Source organism: Homo sapiens, chromosome 2 (genome assembly GCF_000001405.40).
Source record: "Homo sapiens chromosome 2, GRCh38.p14 Primary Assembly".
Taxonomy (NCBI): domain Eukaryota; kingdom Metazoa; phylum Chordata; class Mammalia; order Primates; family Hominidae; genus Homo; species Homo sapiens.
The window spans coordinates 131,522,502-131,548,081 of NC_000002.12; the positions used below are offsets into that span (position 1 = coordinate 131,522,502).

At 51.3% G+C, this 25,580-nt stretch overlaps 1 protein-coding gene and 1 pseudogene across 28 annotated transcripts, besides 7 other annotated features; one reads left to right on the forward strand and one right to left on the reverse strand.

The window, feature by feature from the left end:
• Positions 1–90: 90 nt before the first annotated feature.
• On the forward strand, positions 91–11,165 carry CCDC74A (coiled-coil domain containing 74A). Of its 28 annotated transcripts, none has more exons than XM_017005241.2 (9): positions 91–245; positions 1,609–1,765; positions 7,146–7,190; positions 8,078–8,326; positions 9,151–9,301; positions 10,088–10,280; positions 10,363–10,436; positions 10,512–10,568; positions 10,768–11,165. In XM_017005241.2, exons 3-9 carry the CDS (start codon positions 7,166–7,168, stop codon positions 10,895–10,897), a joined length of 879 nt encoding a protein of 292 aa, XP_016860730.1. In that variant the 5' UTR covers positions 91–245; positions 1,609–1,765; positions 7,146–7,165; the 3' UTR covers positions 10,898–11,165. The 28 variants fall into 28 exon arrangements, 27 of the variants coding, with proteins under 27 accessions (XP_016860730.1, XP_016860733.1, XP_016860723.1 ...); XM_017005244.2 differs by having other exon boundaries at positions 8,276–8,326; XM_017005234.3 differs by lacking the exons at positions 91–245; positions 1,609–1,765 and adding an exon at positions 5,387–5,845.
• Positions 5,246–5,325: a silencer, noted in NCBI's record as "silent region_11967". NCBI's record gives its function as "represses an Ori minimal core promoter by ATAC-STARR-seq in GM12878 lymphoblastoid cells {active_cell/tissue: GM12878}" and the evidence as "EXISTENCE:reporter gene assay evidence [ECO:0000049][PMID:35858748]".
• Positions 5,396–5,475: a silencer, noted in NCBI's record as "silent region_11968". NCBI's record gives its function as "represses an Ori minimal core promoter by ATAC-STARR-seq in GM12878 lymphoblastoid cells {active_cell/tissue: GM12878}" and the evidence as "EXISTENCE:reporter gene assay evidence [ECO:0000049][PMID:35858748]".
• Positions 5,526–5,575: an enhancer, noted in NCBI's record as "active region_16534". NCBI's record gives its function as "activates an Ori minimal core promoter by ATAC-STARR-seq in GM12878 lymphoblastoid cells {active_cell/tissue: GM12878}" and the evidence as "EXISTENCE:reporter gene assay evidence [ECO:0000049][PMID:35858748]".
• Positions 6,855–6,904: an enhancer, noted in NCBI's record as "active region_16535". NCBI's record gives its function as "activates an Ori minimal core promoter by ATAC-STARR-seq in GM12878 lymphoblastoid cells {active_cell/tissue: GM12878}" and the evidence as "EXISTENCE:reporter gene assay evidence [ECO:0000049][PMID:35858748]".
• On the reverse strand, positions 11,849–14,488 carry MED15P4 (mediator complex subunit 15 pseudogene 4; annotated as a pseudogene).
• Positions 13,196–13,752: an enhancer, noted in NCBI's record as "H3K4me1 hESC enhancer chr2:132293270-132293826 (GRCh37/hg19 assembly coordinates)". NCBI's record gives its function as "activates a minimal SCP1, AML or CMV promoter by ChIP-STARR-seq in naive H9 embryonic stem cells {active_cell/tissue: H9 hESC(naive)}" and the evidence as "EXISTENCE:reporter gene assay evidence [ECO:0000049][PMID:30033119]".
• Positions 20,701–21,202: an enhancer, noted in NCBI's record as "H3K4me1 hESC enhancer chr2:132300775-132301276 (GRCh37/hg19 assembly coordinates)". NCBI's record gives its function as "activates a minimal SCP1, AML or CMV promoter by ChIP-STARR-seq in primed H9 embryonic stem cells {active_cell/tissue: H9 hESC(primed)}" and the evidence as "EXISTENCE:reporter gene assay evidence [ECO:0000049][PMID:30033119]".
• Positions 21,203–21,702: an enhancer, noted in NCBI's record as "H3K4me1 hESC enhancer chr2:132301277-132301776 (GRCh37/hg19 assembly coordinates)". NCBI's record gives its function as "activates a minimal SCP1, AML or CMV promoter by ChIP-STARR-seq in primed H9 embryonic stem cells {active_cell/tissue: H9 hESC(primed)}" and the evidence as "EXISTENCE:reporter gene assay evidence [ECO:0000049][PMID:30033119]".

Sequence of the window (25,580 nt, forward strand, 5' to 3'; positions counted from 1 at the left end):
AGGATGCCCTTGACTTTTTGCCATTGGGCCACACTCCCCTGCTGACAGGCCAACTCCAGATGCTTTTCTGACCACGTGGCCCAGAGCCTCTGGCAGCGCAGCTTCAGGCTGTCCTGACACCACCCCTGCCCCTTGCACCTCCGCATCGTCCTCCTTGCCCCGAGGCAATCCCATTCCCTGGATCCCATTCGTGGCCCACTCCCACGATCTACCGCTAGGATATACCAGCGCCCCCGTGATCCGAGGTAAGTCAGATTCTGATCATCTTGTGCAAGCAACTCACAAGCAGAGGCCCTGTGCAGTCAGGAGAAATCTATACCTTTCCCCTTGGACATCCAAGAGCAAGTTAGATCCCCTAAAGGCCAGCTCTCACCAATAACCCTGACATTTCCAATATAAATGAGAGAGAACTCTCTGTTTTGAGACAAGGTCTTGCTATATTGCCCAGGCTGGAGTGCACTGCACCATGACAGCTCACTGCAGCCTCTTAACTCCTGGGCTTAAGCAATCCTTCCGCCTCAGCATCCCAAGTAGCCAGGACTACAGGCATGCGCCACCGCACCCTGCTAATTTTTAAATTTTTTTGTAGAGACGGGGTCTCACTGTGTTACCAGGCTGATCTTGAACTCCTGGGCTTAAGTGATGGGACCGCCTCCGCATCCTGAAGTGCTAGGGTTACAGGTGTGAGCCACCACGCTGGAGAGAGGCCTCTTATGTAGCCTTCACTGTAAAAATTAAGCTAGCTTCCCTTGACTCCCGAAGCCAGAATTCCTAGCATAATTTTCTCAAGTCACAAGGTGCCGAAATATATCTAATTATTTCCCAGTCAAGAATTCCTACTTTTGGCCAGGCGCAGTGGCTCACGCCTGTAATCCCAGCACTTTAGGAGGCTGAGGCAGGAAGATCACCTGACGTCAGGAGTTTGAGACCAGCCTGGCCAACATGGTGAAATCCCATCTCTACTAAAAATACAAAAATTAGCTAGTGTGGTGGCGCATGCCTCTAATCTCAGCTACTTGGGAGGCTGAGGCAGGAAAATCGCTTGAACCTGGGATGTAGAGGTTGCAGTAAGCCGAGATCGCACCACTGTACTCCAGCCTGGGTGACAGAGACTCCCTCTCAAAAAATAAATAAAAAATAAAAGTGATAAATTGGCAGCTGGCGCCAGGGACAGGCCATTTCTTGATGGGCCACACCTATTTCACTAAAGTGTTAATTGAATGCAGATTCCAGGGAGAATCAACTTCCCAGGCATGTGCATTAAGAGACAAAGTAGTGGAGTATGACCTTCCAGGGGCACCCCACCCGAAAACCTCAGATGGGCATGCATACAGTTTCCTAAACACACTGCATGTGTTTAGGAACTCCCAAGGGTAAGGAGGGTACTGTACATGTGGGCAGCCCACCCTATGGGAAGGATCATGGGAAAGGGGCTAGTCTAGAAAGTCCTAGGATCAAGGTTAAACACCACACTTGACTTTCATGTGCCCACTTAGGTCTCTTCCAAGCATACTTTCCTTTCTTTCCTGTTCTAAAGCCTTTTAAAATACACTTCCACTCCTGCTCTGAAACTTGCTTTGGTCTCTTTTTCTGCCTTATGCTCCTCAGTCGAATTCCTTCTTCTGAGGAACCAAGAATTGTGGTTGCTGAAGACCCATCCGGATTCACTGCCAGTGACTTGGACACCTTCCACTGCTAACACTATTAACTCGGACACCTTCCACTGCTAACACAATAACACTGGGTTATTGTGTTTATTTGGAGAGTAAGTATGGTTTAAGGAGATGTGTATGGGTGCCAGGTTGACAAGGGGTGGACTTTTGATGGTTAATTCTATATGTCAACTTGTCTGGGCCACTGGATGCACTCATATCTGGTTACACATTATTTCCTGGCAGGTCTGTAAGGGTGTTTTCAGAAGAAAGTGGCATTTAAATTGGTGGTGCAAGCAGCCATGCATACATTTCTGCAGTAGCTTCCCTATAGCTTGCAGGAACCAGAGCGGGCAATAAGAGCCCCATCCTCCAAATACTGGGGATCTGTGCTCTGATTGATGATGGCTGCTGTTGATTGTGAAAATGCAGACAAAGAGGCAGGCAGCCACTGCTGCAATCTCCACTGCTATGTTTGCAACGTCCCTCCTCAACCCTCACTGCCTCCCTGGGTACACACCTTCCAGGAGGTTTTTATGGATCAGCACCTCCTCCTGCCTTCATTTTTCTTTTCTCCTTCTTGGGAACCAGATGTTTAGGACTAGGACATTCAAAAGCAACCACATACCAGGCACAGTGGCTCATACCTGTAATTTCAACACTTCTGGAGGCTGAGGGAGGAAGAGAGCCTCAGTCCAGGAGTTTGAGACCAGTCTGGGCAACATAGTAAGACAAAAAAAAAAAAAAAAAAAAAAAAATTAGCCAGGCATGGTGGTGTGTGCCTGTAATCCCAGTTACTAGGGAAGCTGAGGCAGGAGGATGACTTGAGCCCAGGAGTTCCAGGCTGCAAGTGAGCTATAATCGCACCACTGCACTCCTGCCTGGATGAATTTCTCTCCACTCAGGATATCCTCCCTCCCAGCAGTAATATTGCTACCATTCATTCCAGCTGTCCATAAACCATAATTACTGAATACATGTTGCCATAATTTTTTTGAGCAAACTGTCATCTGTTAAAAAAAAATAAAGATTATATTTTATCTTAATTTATTCCTTCTCTAATGCACTTCCCTTTTTTTAGATCCAAATTTCCTATATCATTTTCCTTCTTTTTTTGAAACAAGGTCTCTCTGTGTTGTCCAAGCTGGAGTGCAGTGGTGCAATCATGGCTCGCTGCATCTCAGCCTTCTCAGTAGCTGGGACTGCAGGTGTGCACCACCATGCAGGCAAATTTTTTAGTTCTTTGTGGAGACAGGGTCTGGCTATATTGCCCAGGCTGGTCTCCAACTCTTGGGCTCAAGAGATGCTCCTGCTTTGGCCTCTCAAAGTGCTGGGATTACAGGCATCAGCCATGCACCTGACTTTTCATTTCTGTTGTGTTTTTGACTTCTTACATTTTCTTTTAGTTTTTTGAGACAGAATCTCACTCTGTTGCTCGGGATGGAGTGCAGTGGCAGGATCCCAGCTTGCTGGAAACTCCACCTCCTGAGTTCAAGCAATTCTTCGGCCTCGGCCTCCTGAGTAGTTGGGATTACAGATATAAACCACTATGCCTGCCTTTTTTTTTTTTTTTTTTTTTTTTTGAGATGGAGTCTTGTTCTGTCGCCCAGGCTGGAGTGCAGTGGTACCATCTTGGCTCACTGCAAGCTCCGCCTCCCGGGTTCACGCCATTCTCCTACCTCAGCTTCCCGAGTAGCTGGGACCACAGGCGCCCACCACCATGCCCGGCTAATTTTTTGTATTTTTAGTAGAGATGGGGTTTCACCGTGTTAGCCAGGATGGTCTCGATCTCCTGACCTCGTGATCCGCCCGCCTCGGCCTCCAAATAATTTTTGTATTTTTAGTAGAGATGGGTTTTCACCATGTTGCCCAGGCTGGTCTTGAACTCCTGACCTCAAGTGATTCACCCACCTCAGCCTCCCAAAATGTTGGGATTAGAGGTGTGAGCCACTGTGCTTGGCCAACTTCTCGCATTTTCTTTTCTTTTTTTTCCTTTTTTTTTTTTTTTTCTGAGATGGAGTCTTACTCTGTTGCCCAGGCTTGAAGGCAGTGGCATGATCTCAGCTCACTGCAACCTCCACCTCCTGGATTCAAGCAATCCTCCCACCTTAGCCTCCCAAGTAGCTGGAATTACAGGTGCATGCCACCACGCTAGCTAATTTTTGTATTTTTTAGTAGAGATGGGATATCACCATGTTGGCCAGGCTGGTCTTGAACTCCTGACCTCAAATGATCTGCCCAACTTGGCCTCCCAAAGTGCTGGGATTACAGACATGAGCCACCCTGCCTGGCCTTCACATTTTCTTTAGATTATTTCTTAGAATGTCTACTTCTCTGTTCCCATTATCAGTCTGTAATCTCATGTTGTCCACTTTTTCCATTAGAGCCCTTAGCATATTAATCATAGTTGTATTCCATTTCTTGGTCTGATAATTCCAACATCTCTGCCATATTTAAGTCTGGCTCTGATGTTTGCTGTGTCTTCAAACTGTGTTGTTTTTTATTATGCCTTGCAAGTTTTTGTTGAGGGCTGGTCGTGCTCAACCAGTAAATGGACTTTCTGTGTGAAGTTTTATGTTGGTCTGGTTAGGGGTTGCGCCATGTGTTCTGTTTGTTAACTGGAGGTGTCAGAGGCTTAAACCTCCTCTAGTGTCTTAGTTTTTGTCTCCCTGTTGCCTTTACGGTTTCCTAGAGATTTCTTGAATAAGCTCTGAGATGAGCAGTTCTTTCACTTGTATCCCCTGTTATTATACAGGAGCCCCGCTGATGTGGCAGTAAGATGTGGGGAAAGGAGAGCCAGAGCAGGCTGGGGTTAGCTATGTTCCCTTCCTCCAGGTTTGCTGGTATCTGGCAAAATTATGATTGGCCTGGCTGTGATTTTTTTTTTTTTTTTGAGGGCAGGCCTTGTAAAAAAAATAAGACTTCTTTTTATTTTTATTATTTTTAAATTTATTTATTTATTTATTTATTTTTTGAGACACAGTCTCACCCTGTCACCCAGGCTGGAGTGCAATGGCGCGATCTTGGCTCACTGCAACCTCCACCTCCTGGGTTCAAGTGATTCTCCTGCCTCAGCCTCCGGAGTAGCTGGGATTACAGGTGTGAGCCACCGCGCCCAGCCTCTTATTTTTAGGCAGCATCTCACTCTGTCACTTAGGCTGGAGTTCAGTGGTGCCATCATAGCTCACTGCAGCCTCGACCTCTGGGGTTCCAGCAATCCTCCCGCCTTAGCCTCCCGAGCAGTTGGGACTACAGGCGCAAGACACCATGCCCGGGTTTTTTTTCTTTTAATTTTTTAGAGACGGGGTCTCACTTTCCATTCAGGCTGGAAAGGATGCCTGGATGCCTTTTATTATTATTTTTTTAGACAGAGTCTCTGTCGTCCAGATTGGAGTGCAGCGGTGCGATCTCGACTCACTGCAACCTCTGCCTCCCGGTTCAAGCTATTCTCCTGCCTCAGCCTCCAGAGTAGCTGGGATTACTGGCTCCCGCCACTACACCCGGCTACATTTTGTATTTTTAGTAGAGTTGGGGTTTCGCCATGTTGGTCAGGCTGGTCACGAACTCCTGACCTCAAATGATCCGTCCGCCTCGGCCTCCCAAACTTCGGGGATTACAGGCGTGAGCCCCGGCGCCCAGCCCTGGATGCCTTGTAAATCACTACTCACCCAGGAAGAGCCAGCGACAGGCCCCGCCCCCGCCAACCGCCTCGCGCCTTCCGTCGCCCGGTTTCCATGGTGACGGGGCGCCAGGCTAGGGCGGCCTGGCCACTGAGCCGGGGTGCAGTGGCAGCGGGAGAGTACCTGGCGATGGCGATATGAGCGGTGCGGGGGTGGCGGCTGGGACGCGGCCCCCCAGCTCGCCGACCCCGGGCTCTCGGCGCCGGCGCCAGCGCCCCTCTGTGGGCGTCCAGTCCTTGAGGCCGCAGAGCCCGCAGCTCAGGCAGAGCGACCCGCAGAAACGGAACCTGGACCTGGAGAAAAGCCTGCAGTTCCTGCAGCAGCAGCACTCGGAGATGCTGGCCAAGCTCCATGAGGAGATCGAGCATCTGAAGCGGGAAAACAAGGGTGAGCCGGCGCGGGGCCCTAGGCCGGCCCTGCCTCCCCAGGCACACTCAACACTGCCGCTCCCGCAGCACAGAAACACAGCCATCAACTCCAGCACACGCCTGGGCTCAGGGGGAACACAGGACGGTAAGCCCGCCCTGCCACGCTGAGCTGTCCCCTCCTCCCAGAGGGAGACCCGCGTGGCCCCCGGGCAGTGCCGACCCTGTCTGCCTGTCTCGTAGGGCAGCAGCATTTCAGATGCTGACTCCGCCAATCCTCTCCTCTCCAAGCAGGGTCAGACACACCTCTGTTAAAAACTTTATAGAGGGGCCCGGGCGCGGCGGCTCACGCCTGTAATTCCAGCACTTTGGGAGGCCGAGACGGGCGGATCACGAGGTCAGGAGATCGAGACCATCCTGGCTAACACGGTGAAATCTCGTCTCTACTAAAAATACAAAACAATTAGCTAGGCGTGGTGGTGGGCGTCTGTAGTCCCAGCTACTCGGGAGGCTGAAGCAGGAGAATGGCGTGAACCCGGGAGGCGGAGCTTGCAGTGAGCCGAGATCTTGCGACTGCACTCCAGCCTCGGTGACAGAGCGAGACTCCGTCTCAAAAAAACAAAAACAAAAACTTTATACAGGGAAACGTGCCCAAGTGCGAGTGCGCAGCTCAATGAATTTCTTCCAGCTAAACACATCGGATCAGGAGCAGGCATTCCCCCGCCCCCCACCCCGTCCCCGCTTCGCCTGTGCCCATGCTGTCCTCCGGCGGGGCCTTCCCAACTGCACCCTTAGCTGCTCCTCACCCCCACGCCCCCCTTTCTCCCTCCCTCCTCCCCCACCCCTCCTGCCCCGAGCAGAAGGAGGGCCCGCCAGGATGTGGGATGTGGCTCCGCTCCTCGATCTTGCTTCAGGAGGGCTCCAGCAAGGGCACCAGTGCCCGCGGCCTCCTCTCCCGCCCCGTTCCCTGGTGCTGCCTTACCTGAGTGCCGAGTATCCCATCACCAGGCGTCTGTTTTGTCAGGACCCCGCTTCCCCATGTCTTCTTGAGCCTCAGGACGCCCAGTTCCTAATGTCTTCTTGAGCCTCCCCCGCAGTCCCTGATCCCCACGGGATCATGACACTGCCATAGCCAGGGGTTCCGGAGTTCACCTCTGTACCCCTAAAGCCCAGGCCCTGCCTGGGCAGTGTGGATGCCCTCCAGTCATCTCAGATGGATGAGGCCGATATGCCCGGTGGGCTCTGCCTAGGGAACAGGCAGGGCCATTCCTGGCCTGACACCCACGACGAAGGCGTGGTGGAGAGCGGGATCCATGGGGCAGGGCCCAATCAGCCAGTGGGGGGGCAGGACTTTTGGGCTCAGCAGCCAGGAGAGGACAGGCCAGGCTTCTTCTCTCAGAATAGCTGTGGTTTCACAAGTGCTGAGGAGAGCGTGTGCTTGCTTTCAGATCTCCATTACAAGCTCATAATGAATCAGACATCACAGAAGAAAGGTGAGAACTGGGCCCTTCAGTGACTGATGGGATGCTCTTGCCACCCAGGGGAGCCCCTCCAGACTGTCCTTGCCCACCTGGCTGCACTGGCCCCTGTATGCCAACCCAGTGGGTACAGGTTCTGGGGGACCTGGACAGATGCCGCTACCTCTAGCCGTGGCTGGACGATGTTATGCAGCCAAGCACAGCACGTGCTGCTCTCGGGAAGCCCAGGGCCTGAGGTCATTGCAGTGGGGAGGTGGGCACAGGGTGCTCCCCAGACCTCCCTCCTCCAAGTAGAGCTGAAATGGGAAGGAACCCCTGGGACAGCCCCTGCCCTGCTAGATCTTTGCCTCAGATTGCTGCTGTGGCCAGGCCCAGGATTTCCAGCCCTATGGCTCTGAGTCCTCACATGCTGGGGGCCCAGGGGCTCTGGACACACTCCATCCAGGGATCCCTTCCTGCCATCTGGGCAGCAACCATGGGGACAAAGGGAGGAAGCAGAGTCCTGTTTCCTTGCCACTTGTCCAAGGCACTTCCCCATCCTGACAGCGGCCCCCACCCAGCCCAGGATCCTGGGCTGTGGTCTCAAGCTCACTTCCCATTATCTTTGGGGCTGGGGCTGACATCAGGAGGACATCTGACTGGTGGATGGAGCCAGCCTGGGAACATCGCAGCTGGGGCAGTGCCTAGGGCTCTCCCTTCCCAGGGAGACATGGAGAAGGGGGTTGAGGGAGGGCCCTTCCCTAGCCGCTGTGGCAACTCCAGTGAGCTGTTCTGGGCAAAGTGTGGCCCAAGTCGGCAGCCCCAGCCCTGCAGTGCTGGGGACGCTGACAGGACACGGGAAGAGGCCATGCTTTCCCTCGGGACCTGCTGTTCCATGTGTCCCAAGCCCTCCTGCTTTCCAGATGGCCCCTCAGGAAACCACCTTTCCAGGGCCTCTGCTCCCTTGGGCGCTCGCTGGGTCTGCATCAACGGAGTGTGGGTAGAGCCGGGAGGACCCAGCCCTGCCAGGCTGAAGGAGGGCTCCTCACGGACACACAGGCCAGGAGGCAAGCGTGGGCGTCTTGCGGGCGGTAGCGCCGACACTGTGCGCTCTCCTGCAGACAGCCTCTCCATGTCAAGCTTCCAGTCTGTCAAGTCCATCTCTAATTCAGGTGAGCAGGCTGGCGTCCATGTGCTCACAGGGGTGAGTGCCCCACGGGGACCCCAGCCTGGGTGGCCTCTAGGGGTGCTGACCAGGCGCCCTCTGCTGGGCCAAGCTCCAGGATTTGGGGATGAAGGTGCAGCTGAAAAGAGCCCTGCAAGCTGAAGCCACCGGGAGGGGATTAAGGGGGGGTGGGCAGGACCAGGGACCAGTCACAGGGCAGTAAGGCCTCACAGCAGGCACCCCAGGGCGGGGCAGCAAGCAGGCAGGAGGGGCCTCCCCGGGTGGCCTTCTAGGGAGGATGTACCCTGGCTGCCCAGCAGCAGCCCTGCTTGGCCGTGTCCCTGCCACAAGCAGGCAGGACACAGGAGGGATGGCACTGCCCACGGAGCCCTGGGCTCATGGCACCTTCTGCAGAGTGAGCCGGGAGCAGAGAGCCTCTTTTCCCCACTCTGTGAGGCCGGGCATTTTCCTCAGCCCTGCCCTAACCCCCACCATTCCTGTGATGGGCCCAGGTGCTAGACGGGCCTTGTCCTTGCCGAGGAAACCCATGCAGGCTGGGTCCCAAGCCTCTCATGCAGTTTCATTTTACCCAAGATGGGGCCAGCTTCCACTATGTTGATTGTTCTAGAGTGTTCACAGGCACCACCCATGGGCTTCACCCTCAGAACCACATTGATTCCCCCCAGAACCCTCCAAGGCAGGCTTCCCTTTACAGAGGAGGAAACTGAGGCAGGGACAGGGGCTTCTTGGGTACACACAGCTGTTCCTGGAAAACTTGGGCGGTGACTGTTGGTGCCTGCAGTGACCGGCCTTGTAGGGTCTGACTTGCAGCCAACTCTCAAGGCAAGGCCAGGCCCCAGCCCGGCTCCTTCAACAAGCAAGATTCAAAAGCTGACGTCTCCCAGAAGGCGGACCTGGAAGAGGAGCCCCTACTTCACAACAGCAAGCTGGACAAAGTTCCTGGGGTACAAGGGCAGGCCAGGTAAGGCTTGGGTGTTCCTGGGGTGCAAGGGCAGGCCAGGTAAGTCTTGCCTGCACCCTAAGGGCCCCATGACTACATTTACTAGGCTCACGCCCTGCAGTCAGCCAACTGCTCTGCCCCTAGCTCCAGGGGCCTGTCTCCTGGGCTCATGATAGCAGATGACGGCCACGCTCTACCCATCGGTGGGCGCTGTCTTCCTCCCTTCCCCTGGGGGTCCTGCAGAGTACCTGTGCTGACCTGAGCCCACGAGGGGGGCCAGTAGCAGCCCCTAAACCACTTCCTCAGAGAAAAGTAAAGTAATATTCTTACCAAGAGAAGGCTTGCTGCCCCTGGCCACAGCCTGCCTTTGGAGGGCACTAGGCCAGCAGGTCAGAGTAGGAACAGGTTCTGGTGATCCCTGAGTTTGCGGGACTGCCCTGAGATGCTACAGAGTGCACACTTTCAGCAGCGCAACCAGCAGGACAGGCTCCTGCATCTGCACATCCCAAGACCAGGCCTGGAGCAAGATGCCCCACTGGGTGTGGGGTCACGATCAAGAGCAGCCTGGCAGCTAGCTGGTCACCCACTGAAGCCCATCTGACCCTTAGGGCACCTTCAGAGGGGAGAAAGGGACAGGCCCCAGTCCCAGAGACCCCCACCTGGTGCCCAGAGCACCCTGCTCAGTGGGAGAGGGGAACCAGGCCCTCTTCCCCACATTGGCCTGGGCGCTGCCTGGGGAGGTATGCTGGGTGGGTGGTTAGACGCACCTGGGCAGGTCACCTCTGGCTGCTGCAATGACTGTTTCAGAAAGGAGAAAGCAGAGGCCTCTAATGCAGGAGCTGCCTGTATGGGGAACAGCCAGCACCAGGGCAGGCAGATGGGGGCGGGGGCACACCCCCCAATGATCCTGCCCCTTCCCCTGCGAAAGCCCACCACACTTAGGCAGTGCGAAGTGCTCATCCGCGAGCTGTGGAATACCAACCTCCTGCAGACCCAAGAGGTGAGGCCCTGGGTGGTGGGGGTGGCCCTGGGCAGTCTGGCACCGCCACAGGCCCCACCATGCCCCTGCCCCTGCCTTTCAGCTGCGGCACCTCAAGTCCCTCCTGGAAGGGAGCCAGAGGCCCCAGGCAGCCCCGGAGGAAGCTAGCTTTCCCAGGTGAGTGCCTGGTGCACCCCTGCCCCATCCCTGGGGTCCTATCCACAGCTCACTGCTGACTCTTCCTTCACCCAGGGACCAAGAAGCCACGCATTTCCCCAAGGTCTCCACCAAGAGCCTCTCCAAGAAATGGTAAGTCCCACAGGCATGGGGACAGTGGGGCAGCCCTGCAGCCTGGGCCCCAGGGAGGGAGTGGGGAAGGGAGGGTGGCAGCGCAGAAGCAGAGCTCGCTGAGGCCTCTCTGTGCCCCCGTGAGGGCCATGCAGGCCGCACTCCCCACACACTCCACTCCCGGGGATGCTCACGGTGACAGTCCCTCTACCCGCCCCAGCCTGAGCCCACCTGTGGCGGAGCGTGCCATCCTGCCCGCACTGAAGCAGACCCCGAAGAACAACTTTGCCGAGAGGCAGAAGAGGCTGCAGGCAATGCAGAAACGGCGCCTGCATCGCTCAGTGCTTTGAGCCACCCCAATCTGGTCAGTGCCAGGCCCACCAACCTGCAGCTGGAGACTGGCTCTCTATAGCATTTCCTGATACTTCCGCTACTTTTAGGCCTGGCTAAATTCCAAGACAGATAACACTCAAGATAGATAAAGTACTTGATCTCCAAACTGACAAACTGTTTATTTTCTAGCTGTTATTTTGCTATTTGGCATTTACATAAAAGCACACGATGAAGCAGGTATCGCCTTACCTGTTGAAACTGAAAATAAAGCTTGTTTATTTCCAAGTTGTGTGCCTGGCTCCTCACTGGCTATCAGGCGTCGCGTCCCTTCCCAGTCCCAGCCCTTGGCCTCTAGCCCAGGCCCTGCTGTCTGCAGGGACCTGCCTGGGCAGCCCAGTCTTGCGCATCCTGGGACCTGCCAGCGGCCCTGGGAGATAGGCATTGGCAGAGCCATGCACATCCTCCCTGGAAGCGGGAGGGCTTTTCTGGTCCCCTGGCTGGGCTGGAGCTGCGTTCCAAACACATGATCACTCTGTCTCTTGCCCACACTGCACACTCCTGGGGGCAAGAGGCTGTCCTCTCCTGCCCTGACACAGCACCGCAGACAGGGGGTCCAGCCAGGCTCGCCCTCCTCCTCGGAGGGCTGTCTCGAGTGCTGTGGCCATGCCCACACCACCCCTTCCGCCATAGCACAGCCATGTCCATGTCGGGGGTGGGGTGGCCAGCTTACTGCCCACCCTCAGCCAGCCACACAGTCTTCCCAGGCCCACGGCCCCACTTCGTTGGCATTAATCTCAGCCTCTTCCTGCTTCAGGGAGCAGAACTTTGCCAGGAAGCTGGGGATGAACCAGGCCAAGGAATGGGACAGTGTGTCAGAAAGGACAGCCCAGGCCCGGGGGCTTACAGCATCCTAACAGGACAGCAGGCCCAGTTTCATGGAGTGGGGGACACAGTGACGAGTCCTGAAAAACACAGGAATAACAAGATTATAACAATCACAGATGATGGGGTGGTACGCATTAAAAGGGGCGACTCTTGTCACCAAAGGGCTGCTGGCCAGTGCCCAGGGCAGTGGGCAACATAGGGAGGCACTCACTGCATGGCCCCACCCACCGCCAGGCCCGCACTCTCTGGGTGGCAGCGCGTAGTGTTCTGAGGACGCGGGTCCAGAGGGCCTGGCTCTTCATCCTTCACAATGGGGACACGGCCCTCACACGAGTGACACAGGGGTGCCGGCAGCAGGATCCCCCGTGCCCCTGCTCCCTGGGGGCCCCACAGTGCTCAGCAGGAATGCCGTGAGGGCTGAGGCCCAGCTGGTGGTGGGGAGCTGGCAGCAGCCATGGGCCAGCCCTCCCTCCGATAGGCAGCCTGTGCCCTGGACTTAGGGGCTTCTCTGGGGGGTGCCCCACCTGCCCAAAGCAGCACAGCCTGAACCCAAAACTGTGAGCAGAGAATCCGACGTGTGTTTGAAGGGTTTCCTATGTCCTCTGTGTTCTCCTATAGAAAGGAGCAGGGGTGTGTTGAGCACACACAAGAAGCTCTAACAACACCCTGAGCGCACCCTCATGCCGCTGAGATGGACCTGGACCCTGGACAGGCCACGGCGAGCAGCCCGCTCCACCACGCCCATCTCAGTCTGTACAAGTGTGGGATTTCATTTGGCAGATCCCCAAGGCAGGAAAGAAAAGGAGGAAAGCTAACCTAACTCCAGGCTCTCCATGGATGCCAACACCTAGAAGTGTCTGACAGGAGGCATGCGTCCTTGGCCCCGATGAGGCTGCGGGCCATCCCTGCAGTCCTGGCTAAGCAGCCGAGAGGCAGGCCTTGTGGATGCTCTGGGCACAGGTGTTGAGCAAGGTGGTAACCGAGTGCTTTTCCAGGCTGTGGCTGCCTGGAGGTCACGCAGTGGTGCACCGACCTGAGGAAGGGGTTGGTGCCTGCAACAGAACAGTGGGCATGAGCCTGAGGCAGCTGGTGCTGCACCCACGGCCTGCACACCCGGCAGTGCTCTGGGAAGTGGCAGCCCCAGGACTGGCTGAAGCACCAGGAGGAGCCCTGCACGCTGCCTGCCTGGCCATCGGGCTCTCCTCCCAGAGCCTCATTGTCAGTGAAGAACTGAATCTGAATGGGATTTGGAGCCCAGGGCTCTGCCTCTGACAACCTTGGGGACCCAGCCCTGGCTCTGCTGTGTGCCAGCTCTGGGCTCAGGGATACTGACCCCTGTCAACATGACTCTCTCTGGAGCCACATCACCCAGATGGGGCCTTGTGTGCCCAAGCTACTGGTAGGACCTGTCAGCCCCGCTGAGCTCCCTGGTGGCCTCTGGGAAAATCAAGGTCTGTCCTTGAGCCATAGGCTTTCTCACCCTTCAGCCACTGAACACAGCCACCCTGGACAACTGACCTGATACAAGATGAAGGGGCAAAGGGACACAGAAGAAGAGCAGAGACCCCTCTCTCTCATGTGACCACTGGAAAACCCGTGCCTGCCCGTGCAGGGGGAGTCAGAAGACGGGAGGGAGGGGCCTGAGCTGGGAGGGGCTGGAGTGCACAGAGGCTGTCCCTGCAGCACTGGAAGCCTGGTGTTCCAGAATGACCCCTGCCTGCCCTGGGCCCCCAGACAGCTCCCTCTGGGTCTGCCCACTGTATAGCCACTGCCGGTCCATCCACAGTGGACTCTGGGTAGGGTAGTGGGTGGGCACATGGTGGCACACTTGGGAGGTTCTTGTCGTTTGCAACACACAAGGCTGTACCTGTGACCCAGACAAGCCCTGGCCTGCCCTGCCTCACAGCCCTGCTCCCGAACAGGACTCTTCACATCCCGGGAGGTTCTGGTGAGGCTTGCGGCAAAGCCTGGATGTCTCTCTCACTCTCGGATTTCCAAACCTGAAGCCAGAGTGACCTGCATCGATGGGTGCCCAGAGGTCCTGCCTGCCACCTCCCTAGGGCCCCAGGCAAGCAGAGCCGCATCTGTGTTGGGGAGGTGAGGGTGCGTGGGCTCCAGGGGTGGGGGCAGAGGCAATGGCCAGTCTGTCCTGGGCCCAGTGTATGTGAAGACAGAGCAGACAGCCTGCCGGCACGTGAACACAGGATGGGGTCTGGGCACTGTGCCCTGTGGCTTGGACAGCAGAGACCTGGGGCTGCGGTCGGGGGTTGCTTTCCTGCACCAGCCTGGCCCTCCTGGACACTCGCCCAGCTTGCAGATCAGGCGGACGGTGCCATTGTTGCTGCAGTGAGAAGGGTCCAGGTTTATCATGCACTTGGGCTCCAGCCTGGCCACCAGGCCCTGGAGCACGCTGGAGATGCTCTGCTGCTCATCGTCCTCAAGCCTGTGCTTCCGGGTGCATACCACTGGGGCCTTGGGGAGGCACCATGGTGACCACACTGGGCACACATGGCCCAGGGCCAGGCAGCCACCCTCCGCGAAGCCCAGCCCAGCTGGATGTACGTGATAGGTGGGCTGTGGATGGCAATCAGGGTTGGCATGAATATGCAGTACAGGGAATGGTTGAAGAGGGTGAGCGGATGTTGGCCAGGATGGCATCCAGGAGCAGCTGGCATAGGTACTGCTGTTGGGTCGGTGGCACCGGGGGCAGTGGGGGAGTGGGCTGGAGCAGGATGGGCACGGTCAGCAGCATGGAACCCGAGGGTTCCCCATGTAGGGGGCTTTCCCACCGCACGCCCGTCCTCACAGCCAGATTCCCGAGGCCTCTCTCTCAGCCTCCACCCTTGTGCAGACAATGTCGGCCGATCCTGGGTATAATCCCCACCCCCACAGCCTTGTCCTCCCCAGAGTCCCTGCCCCCTCTGGGCCGGGTGGCAGAGGCACCGATGGGGGCCGCAAACAGAGAGTGACTTCTCCCACGTTCCCACCCAGCACAGCAAACCTGGCCTGGAAGAGGCGTGGTGGGCAGGGTCTCAGGTCAGGCCCAGCCCCTACCCAGCCACCCTAACCTTGAAGGCCCCTCCCAGCAGTGGTCCCAGGAGCTCTTGGGGGAGCCCCAATTCTCCCAGGGATGCCCAGGATCCCACTCACCACTGCCATGTCAGTCCATTTTTTTTTTTTTTTGAGATGGAGTCTCACTCTGTCGCCCAGGCTGGAGTGCAGTGGTGCCATCTGGGCTCACTGCAAGCTCCACCTCCCAGGTTCACACCATTCTCCTACCTCAGCCTCTCGAGTAGCTGGGACTACAGGCGCCCGCCACCATGCCTGGCTAATTTTTTTTTTGTATTTTTAGTAGAGACGAGGTTTCACCATGTTAGCCAGGATGGTCTCGATCTCCTGACCTCGTGATCTGCCCGCCTTGGCCTCCCATAGTGCTAGGATTACAGGCATGAGCCACCGCACCCGGCCAATATTTTTAAATAAAAAATTACAAAGCTGTTTTTCTTAAAATGTTACAGTAAAATGTTATCTGTGTGTAAAATGTATCTATTTTATGTGTACCTGTGTGTGTATGTGTGTGTGTGTGTGAGAGAGAGAATTCTGAATTAGAAAGCATATGTACCAAAACATTAGGAGTAGTTATGTTAGAGTAATGAGATCATGAATGATTTTCACTTTCTTCTTTATACCTTATCAATCATCATCTCAAAATTTACAATCAGAATTCATTATAAGCTATTGTTTGTTTATTTATTTATTTATATTCGCAGTGGCACGATCTCAACTCACTGTAACCTCAGCCTCCCAGGGTCAAGCAATCCTCCCACCTGAGCCTCTGGAGTAGCTGGGAAAAATCAAAGTTAAGTATTCTTCAGTTTAAAATAACTTGTTATAATTATGTTGTTTAGCCTCATGGTAACCAGAAAACAAAAATCAATAATAGATACCCTAAAAATGAAAAGCAAGCAATTAAAACACACTATCAGAAAAAATTACCTCACTACAAATAAAGACAGGAAGGATGGGAAGGAGGAAAGAAAAGAAAGAAAGAGAGAGATCAGAGAGAAGAGAAAGAGGAAGGAAGGGAGAAAGAACAAAAGAAAAAAGAGAGAATAGCAAAACAACCAGAAAACAAGTAAAAAATGGCAGTAGTATGTTTTTAACCATTAATAATAACCTTGAATATAAATGAATTAAATTCTCCAATTAAGACAGAATGGCTGAGTGGATTAAAAGACAAGACCCAACTATATACTGCCTACAAGAAACTCAGTTCACCTATAAACATACATAAACTGAAAGTGAAGACATGATAAACGATATCCCATACCAGTGGAAACAAAAAAAGCAGGAGTAGCTCTACTTAGATTATATAGACTTTCAGTCAAAAAAAGAAAAATATGAAGATAATTATATAATGAGAAAAAGTAAACAGCAGCATAACAATTATAAGTGCATATGCAACCAGCACTCAAGCAACTAAATACAGTAGCAAATATTAACAGACCTTAAAGGATAGACTGCAATACAGTAACAGAATGCCTCAATGCTCCGCTATAATCAACACCCCACTGTCTTCAACGGACAGATCATCCAGACAACAAAACATCATCAGTTAAACTGTACTCTATACCGAATAGACCTAACATTTGCACAGCTTTCCACTCCGCAACTGCACAATGCACATTCCACTGAATAGCATGAGGATTATTCTCCACAACAGACTATGTGTTAGGCCAAAAAACAAGTCACAACACATTTTTAAAAACTGAAATCATGGCCGGGCGCGGTGGCTCATGCCTGTAATCCCAGGACTTTGGGAGGCCGAAGGGGGCGGATCACATCCTGGCTAACACAGTGAAAACCCGTCTCTACTAAAAATACAAAAATTAGCTGGGCGTGGCGGCGTGCACCTGTAGTCCTAGCTGCTGGGGAGGCTGAGGCGGTAGAATGCCGTGAACCCAGGAGGTGGAGCTTGCAGTGAGCCAAGATCGTGCCACTGCATTCCAGCCTAGGTGACAGAGCGAGACTCCGTCTCAAAAACAAAACAAAACAAAACAAAACCTGAAATCATATCAAGTATCTTTTCTGACCACAGTGGAATAGTACTAGAAATCAATAACAGGAGGAAAAACTGTACAAATACATGGAAATTAAAATACATGCTCATGAACAATAAATAAATAAATGAAAAAAATAAAAAGAAAATTAAAAATTTATTGAAAAAAGAATAGAAACACAACATAACAAATCCTGTGGGATGCAGCAAAAGCAGTTGTAAGAGGAAAAAGGCATAGGTATAAATGCCTACATCAGAGAAGTAGAAAGATCTCAAATAGCTAACCTGACAGTATACCTGAAGTAATGAGAAAAACGAGAAAAATAAAATGCTAAAATTAGTACAAAAAATATCATAAAGATTAGAGAAGAAATTTTAAAAATAGAAACAAAAAATACAAAAAGTCAATGGAACAAAGAGCTGGATTTTTTAGAAAAAAATCAAAACTGACAAGCTTTAACTAGACTAAGGAAAAGAAAAAGAAAACAAAATCATAGATGAAAAACGAGACATTACAATTGATAACAGAAATATGAAGGATTATACGAGATTACTAAAAACACCTATATAAAAACAAGTTGGAAAATCTAGGAGAAGTGATAAATTTCTGGACACATAACAAATTCCCAAGATAGAATGATAAACAAAAAACCGGAACAGATCAATAATGAGTAATGTAATCAAAGCAGTAATAAAGTCTTCTGTCAAACAAAAACACAAGAATCACGGTTTTACTGCTGAATTCTACCAAACGTTTTTAAAAGCGCTAATACCAATTTTACTCAAAATATTCCCCAAAAAATGAAGACAAAGTAAGTCTTCGAAACTTGTTCTATGAGGAGAGCATGACCCTGGTACAAAAACCAGACCAGGAAACAACACAAAAAGAAAACCACAGGCATTTTAAATATCCCTGATGAACACAGATGCAAAAAAATCCTCAGCAAAATACTTGAAAATTGCACTTGACAACACAATAAAAAGATGATCTGCCATGATCAAGTGGGATTCATCCCAGGAATATGAGGATGATTCAATAAAACACAAATAAATAAATGTGCGACATCACATTCAGCGAATCAAGAACAAAAACCATATAATCATTTCAGTAGATGCTGAAAAAATAAAAAAACATTCCTTCATGACAAAAACTGAACAACATGAGTACAGAAGGAACATATCTCAGTGCAATAAAGGCCATATATGACAAACCCACAGCTAACATCATAATCAATGGGGAAAGGTTAAAACTCTTCCTCTAAGGCCTGGAACGAGTGTGGCTACTTTTACACCACTTTTATTCATCATAGTACTGGAAGTCCTAGGTAGCGCAATTAGACAAGAGAATGCAATAAAAGGCATCCAAATTGGAAAAAAGAAAGTCAAGCTCTCTCTGTTTGCAGGTGACATGATCATATATATATATACACATAGAGAAACAGAGAACCCTAAAGATTCCACAAAATCACCTACTAGAAATAATTTAGTCAAGTTGCAAGATACAATATCAACATATAAAAATGAGTAGCACACTCATGCACCAATAATGAAATACCTAAGAAATGAAGACAGCTATTTCATTACCAAAATAATTATATCTAGGGATAAACTTAACCAAAAAGACAAAAGATCCCACAATGAAAACTATAAAACACAGATGAAAGCTATTAAAGCAGACACAAGTAAATGGAAAGATATCCCATGTCCATGCACTAGAAGAATATTGTTAAAATATCTATATCACCCAATGTGATCTAGAGTCAATGCAATCCATGTTAAATTACAAAAGACATTCTTCATAGAAATAGAAAAAAATATCCTAAAATTCACATGGAAAAGCAAAATATCTCAGATAGACAAAAGAATCTGGAATAAAAAGAAAAGCTGGAGGCATCACACCTGACTTCAAAACATACTACAAATCTGTAGTAAGCATGGTAATACCAAAACAGCATAATACTATCAAAAAAAGGGGCGGGGGAGAAACAGAGAAACGAAGGAATGACAGACATAGACAAGTGAAACAGAATAGAGAAATCAGAAATAAATTCACGCATTTATGGTGTACTCATTTTTAACAAAGGCACCAAGAACACACATTCGGGAAGGAAGGACAATCTCTTCAATAAACTGCTAGGATAACTCAACACCCACATGTACAGGAATACATCTAGGCCGTTATCTTACCATATACAAAAATCTACTCAAAATAAAGATTTAAATGTAGGACCTGAAACTATAAAACTACTAGAGAAGAAAACATAGGATAAATCCTTCATGAAACTGGTTAGGACAAGGAATTTTCAAATAGACATCAAAAGCACAAGCAACAAAAGCAAAGATGTAATTACATTAAACTTGTCAAAAGCACAATCAACAAAAGCAAAGATGTAATTACATAAAACTTAAAAACTTCTGCAAAGCACAGGAAGAAATCAGTAGAACGAAGAAACAACCCAGAGAATAGAAGAAAGTATTTGCAAACTATCCATCAGCCAAGGGGTTAATACACAAAATATATAAATAACTACTCAAAAGCAAAAATACAAATAATCTGATTTAAAAAAATCTACCCCAAATCTTTGTCTCCCACCATTATTTTCCCACCTTCTTTTCCCGACCGCCTTTGGCCTCCTCCCCCTCGCCACCCGTTTTCTTCCTCCATCTACCCCAAAACTTTTTCCCCACCATCATTTTGCAAAGCCTTCTCTGCTCTCTCACTCACCACCCTTTTCCCCATCCATTTACCCAAACACTTTCCCCACTGGTTTTTCCCACCGTCTTTTCCCCTTCTCCCTGGCCACGTTCTTTTTCCCCATCCCACTCTCATCACCCTCTTTTGCTCCTTCATCTAAGCAACAACGTTTTCTCCCGTCTTTTCCCAAAGCCTTCTCCTCACTCCTGCCGCTCAACACTGTCTTTTCGCCCTTCATCTACCCAAAAACTGTTTTCCTCATCGTCTTTTCCCCCCGTTCCTCCTTGCCACTTCTCCATCTACCCGAAAACATTTCCCCATAGTCTTTTCGCAAAGCCTTCTCCCCACTCCTGCTCACCTCCCTCTTTTCTCTCTCCATCTATCCCCCAGAATATTCCCCACCGTCTTTTCAGTCTTCCCCCCTTCCCATTCATCCTCTTCTTTGCCCTATCCTGCTTGCCACTCTCTTTTTTACCTTCCATCTACCCCAAACTACTTTCCCATTTTTTCCCAACTCTCTTTCCCTGCTCCCTCTCATCACCCTCTTTCCTCCTCCTCGTTACCCTCTTTCCCCCCTCCATCTACCCAAACACTTTTTACCCACTGTCTTTTTTTTCTCCACCGTCTTTCTTTCCTGCCCACTATCTTTTTGCAAAACCTTGTCTTTCTCCCGCTGGCTACCCTTTTCCCTTCCCCCACCTGTTACCCTCTTTTCCCCCTCTATCTTCCCAAAACCTTTTCTCCCCACTGTCTTTTCACAAAACCTTCTCTCCCTACTGCTCAACGCTGTTTCTCCCCCCGACCATCCTCTCTTTCCTCCTCCCCTTGACACCCTCTTTTCCTCCTCCATCTACCCATAAACTTTTTACCCACCATCTTTCTGCAACACCTTCCCTCCTTCGCGCTCCCCACCCTGTTTTTCCCCCACCATCTACCCAAAAACTTTTTTTCCCACCATCTTTTCCCCACCGTCTTTTTGCAACGCGTTCTCCTGCTCGCTAACTTCTTTTCCCTTTGGGACTAACCACCCTCTTTACCCCCTCCATCTATCCCAAAACTATTTTCCTCTTCTTACCGCTCCCGCCGCACTGCCATCTCGGTCGCGGTCACCACCAGTTGCAGCGAGGCGAACCACAGTGGAGCGGCTCCAGCCTCCAATTACCCATTCCCGGTCCTCTAAGCCGGTCACTGAGCAGCTCCATAAGAAAGTACGGGAACCTGGAAGGGCCTGCCTTCCCTTCGGGAGCATTCATATACTGAGGTTATATATATATATGAGGGTTCCTGGACTGCATGTTCTGATTGGATGAGAAAAACCCTCCAGGGTTACTCTGATTGGACTTTATTATCATGTTCTGATTGGATGAGAGCAAGTCTTGAGACAACCAATCACAGCATGAAAATAAAGTCCAATCAGAGTAGGCCTAGAGGTTTTTTCTCTCATCCAATCAGAACATGTAGTCCAGGAACTGCATGTGCGCGACCTCAGTACGTAAAGCATGCTGAGGCGGTGTCAGGTCATTTTAGGCTCTTCAGTTTCGCGTTTGGTATCCGGCATGGCTGCCACCTGTTTCTGGCTGGAGCCTCGGACACTGGCTCACTGCAGTTGGTGGTGTCGACAGAGCGGTAGGAGGGCGGCGGGCAGCAGGAGCTTCTCCTGCTGGGCAGGAAGACGAGTAGAAGGGAGCGGCACCGAGGCATGCTGGAGGCTGGAGCCTGAGCCACCCCGGCTCGCCTCGCTGCGGTTGGTGGTGACCTCGGACACTGCAGCTCGGCCAGAGTGGTAGAAATGTCCTGGTGTAGGTGAGTCAGCTGGGGATGCACTGCCCGCATGTGGGGGCAGGGGTTGGGTGTCCTATTGGGGCTCACTCCCCGAGGCTGCACTGCCTGTGTCAGGGGGCTGGTTGGGGGCACTCTCCGAGGTTGCATTGCTGGCGGTGGGGGTGCGGTGTTGGCTGGCTATCTGGGGCTACACTGCCCACGGTGGCGGGGGTGGTGGGCGGGGGAGGCAGGTTGTGTGCACTAACGTGTACTGCTGGTGGCGGGGGATGGGTTAGGGGCGCTATTTTCTGCTGCACTGCCCAGGGCAAGGAGTGGGTTGGGTGGTTATTCGGAGCTACGATGCTGGTAGTGGGGGGTGGTTTAGGAGTGTTGTCAGGTGTTGCACTGCCCTTGCTCAGGGTGCACTATCAGGAGCTCCCCTACCCGTGGCGGGGTGGGGGCGGCGATTTTGGGGCACTGTCTTGTGCAGCAACACCTGTGGCTGGGTCAGGTTGTGGGCACTATCGGGTGCTACACTGCCTGTGGAGGGGGTGGTTGGGGGGGTATTGGGGTTACACTGCCTGCAGCTGGCACAGGGTGTGTTGGGTGTGCTGTCCGAGGGCTACACTGCCGGCGGCAGGGGTCAGGTTAGGGTTGCTATGGGGGCTATACTGCCAGTGGTGTTGGTCGGCTGCAGAGGTGGTGGGGACAGCAACAGCCATGGTCTCCTTGCTCCTTCGGGTGACTCTTCTCCTTTCCGTACTCCAGACTCTAGAGGGTGATCTCTTCCTGCTCGTGCAATCTTGAGCATGGCAGGACCCCCACACCCACTGCGGTTCTCCGGCCTGCACCTCCCGCCCACACCCCATGCTCTGTGTTGGGGAGACCACCTGGGACTACCGGGTGGGGATTAGTGGGCATCGCGGGGGACTGTGGGAACAGGGCACTGTGGGTGGAGGTGTCAGGAACGGGAACCAGCAGTTGAGTGGGGAGGGCTGGCTGGGTCTGAGTTTCTCCTACTCCTGCTCCCCAAGGAGTGCAGCCCTGGTGGGCCCAGCAATTTCTGGCCAGTTGCACCTGGATGGGGGTGGTTTCAGCATAGGCACTCACACCCGCCCCAGTTCCTGGCCACCTTTTGCCAGAAAGAGAGGCTGGACTTCGGTGGGTGGGTGTGAGTGCCTTAGCTGAAGCTGGTCCCTGCCACCCAGTGGCCAGCATGACAAGGTGAGGCTCTAACGTTACCACTCCCTGCATCCCATTCTAGGCTTTTCTGGCTTTGCCCGTCTAGCTGCTCCAAGCCAGGCTGGAGGAGGAGGAGAAGGAATCACCTGTGGTACGCTGGAGCCTGCATGTGGCGTGACTCTGCAGCTCGCCTCATGTGATTGGTGGCAGCCACAGAGACTGCAGCTCGACAGGAGTGGTAGGAGGGTGCCTGCGGGGGCAAGGTGGTAGGAACCTTGTAGGGTGGGCTGCTGCATTGACGGCGACAGCAATTGTATTGGCATTGGTGCTAGTGGTGGTAGTGGCAGCAAGTCTGGGGGCCGGGAAGGGGGAGTAGGAGCGCTGCAGGGCCCAGCCCAACCTGGGGTGGGGAGGAACCTGCGGGTGCTGTACCATGGGCCTCGGTGGCAGTGGTGGAGGTGCACTTAGGGAAAGGGGTCCTCCCCCTTCTTTTGCAGTCTCTGGAGAGTGCCCTCCTTCTGAGCTAGGCGTGAGGGGCAGCATTGTCTCATTCTTAACAAAGTTTAGGGGGTCACAGTGTGTGTGTGTGTGTGTGTGTGTGTGTGTGTGTTTTCCTTTTCTTTTGAGACAGAGTCTTGCTCTTTTGCCCAGGCTGGAGTGCAGTGGCGCGATCTTGGCTCACTGCAAGCTCCGCTTCCTGGGTTCATGCCATCCTCCTGCCTCAGCCTCCCTAGTAGCTGGGACTACAGGTGCCTGCCACCATGCCCAGCTAATTTTATTTTTGTATTTTTAGTAGAGACGGGGTTTCACAGTGTTAGCCAGGATAGTCTAGATCTCCTGACCTCATGATCCACCCACCTTGGCCTCCCAAAGTGCTAGGATTACAGGCGTGAGCCACTGCACCCGGCCATTTTTTCCTTCTTTTTTGTTGTGATAGTCTTGGACTTTTTCAAATTTCGTGAATTGGGGAGGGGATAAAAGGTGTCATTATAGGCCTTCTAATTCCTGCACCTGTTCTTTTTGCTTTTCCTAGTTTGTATATTCTTCTCATCTTCTTGTTCCTCTTCATTTTCTTTTGCTGCTGCTTCTATTTCATGTTTCTATTCTTGTTTCTCCTCCTCTTTTTGTTTTCTTTATGCCAAGCAATGGCCTTAACAAACAACAAGCCAAAATTGTCATTGTGTTGTATTTTTAAAATAACTGGTCCCTTACTGTGTTTTAGGGATGAGAAAAAAAATCAGTTGTATAATTAGTTACTTGAATAGCTATGCTTTCATGATCTTGTTAACCCGCTTATGCTTAGCGTTCCAATAATGTTCCATTATTGGAACACTAAGCATGAGGGAGTTACTTACATCCTACTGCTCAAGGTCATTGACAAGGTCTGATTATTCACTCAGGCAAAAATTCAAAAAATTACAGCCTCTGGCATAAATGGGGTAATGCATTGTAAGTAGTTATTCAGAGAATCAAAAAATGAAGCATCACATAAAATATTGGTAGCAAACAGCCATTTCATCTCTCTCACATATTTGGAGCTATGCAAGAGTCACGGGGTAAGTTCTAATTTATGAGATTATTAAGTGAACTGTATTGCCTTCATTTTCTCTGCCACCATTTCCTTTGTTTTCTTTCTTTTTTTTTTTTTTTTGAGATGGAGTTTTGCTCTTGTTGCCCAGGCTGGAGTGCAATGGGGCGATCTCGGCTCACTGCAATCTCCGCCTCCCGGGTTCAAGCAAGTCTCCTGCATCAGCCTCCCCAGTAACTGGGATTGTAGGCATGCACCACCATGCCCAGCTAACTTTGTGTTTTTAGTAGAGATGGGGTTTCTCTGTGTTGGTCAGGCTGGTCTTGAACTCCCGACCTCAAGTGATCCACCTGCCTCAGCTTCCCAAGTGCTGGGATTGGACGTGTGAGCCACCACACCTGGCTCTCTGCCACCACTTTCAAGAGTATTGTCATCTGCCTGAGCAAACCTGGTTCATCACCACCTCTTTGCAAGAGAAAAAGAAGTGGGGAGAATCCTGTGTAATTTTTTTCTTTCTTTTTTTTTTTGAGATGAAGTCTCATTCTTTTCCCCCAGGCTGGAGTACGATGGCTCGATCTTGGCTCACTGCAACCCCCGCCTCCTGGGTGAAAGCAGTTCTTCTGCCTTGGCCCCCTGAGTAGCTGGGATTATAGGTGCCTGCCACCACACCCGGCTAATTTTTGTATTTTTAGTAGAGATGGGGTTTCACCATGTTGGCCAGGCTGGTCTAGAACACCTGACCTCAGGTGATCCACCCACCGTGGCCTCCCAAAGTGCTGGGATTAGAGGCATGAGCCACTGCGCCCGGCCATGTATGTTTTAAGGCAAAGATTCACAACCAAAAAACAAGGCTTTATTAACTTCTGTATCTAGGAACTTGCAGTGTTGAGCCCTCTTTTATTCCTAGTATTACTACTTTCGGTGTGAACTTTTTATCTTTATTTTACTGATTCCTCTAGAAGTTTATGCATTTTCTTGACTGCTTTAAAGACAATCTATATTGTCTCATTTTTCAAGCCCATAGAAATGTGTAAGGCCTATAATTTGGACACTTGTTATTTTTAAGGTTATGAGCATGTAGTATACTGTTGATACATGGAAGAATATGTATAAATACCACTAGATAGCTTATATTGAAGAGATAATATCTAAATTTTTGTCCAGAGTTGATTGGGTGCAGTTTCTTAGCTGTGTTTCTTAATACATTGTGTCCATGTTTTAAAGCATATAGAAATTTGAATACTGTTTAACCTCATATAGTCCTTGTTTATAGGTTTAATATTTCTAAAGACTAAAGACATAACAGCTCCCTTTAACATACAGTAATACTAACAAAATTTGAGATATACAGGGTTAGAATCCAACAAATTCAAAGGAAAATTGTTAAATTATATAGCTGTAGAGCAGGAATGAAACCCAGGTTCTAAGTTCCAAGGGGGCCATGAGCTACCATACAGGTGCATCAGTGACTGGGCATAGAGTTGGCGAAATTATGTAAAAGAGTGAGCTGTGGATCCTAATTATGTGAACATGAATTTTTGAACTGCATGGTGCCTCAGTTTATCCATCATTGCAGTGGGGACAGTAGTA

Bases quoted from the DNA above. Each gene is read 5' to 3' on its own strand.
- CCDC74A (XM_005263836.5), top strand. From the start codon at position 7,477: ATGGGAAGGAACCCCTGGGACAGCCCCTGCCCTGCTAGATCTTTGCCT. The intron at 8,327-9,162 runs GTGAGCAGGCTG...CCAACTCTCAAG, and splicing joins CAAGTCCATCTCTAATTCAG to GCAAGGCCAGGCCCCAGCCC. The intron at 10,437-10,511 runs GTGAGTGCCTGG...TCCTTCACCCAG, and splicing joins GAGGAAGCTAGCTTTCCCAG to GGACCAAGAAGCCACGCATT.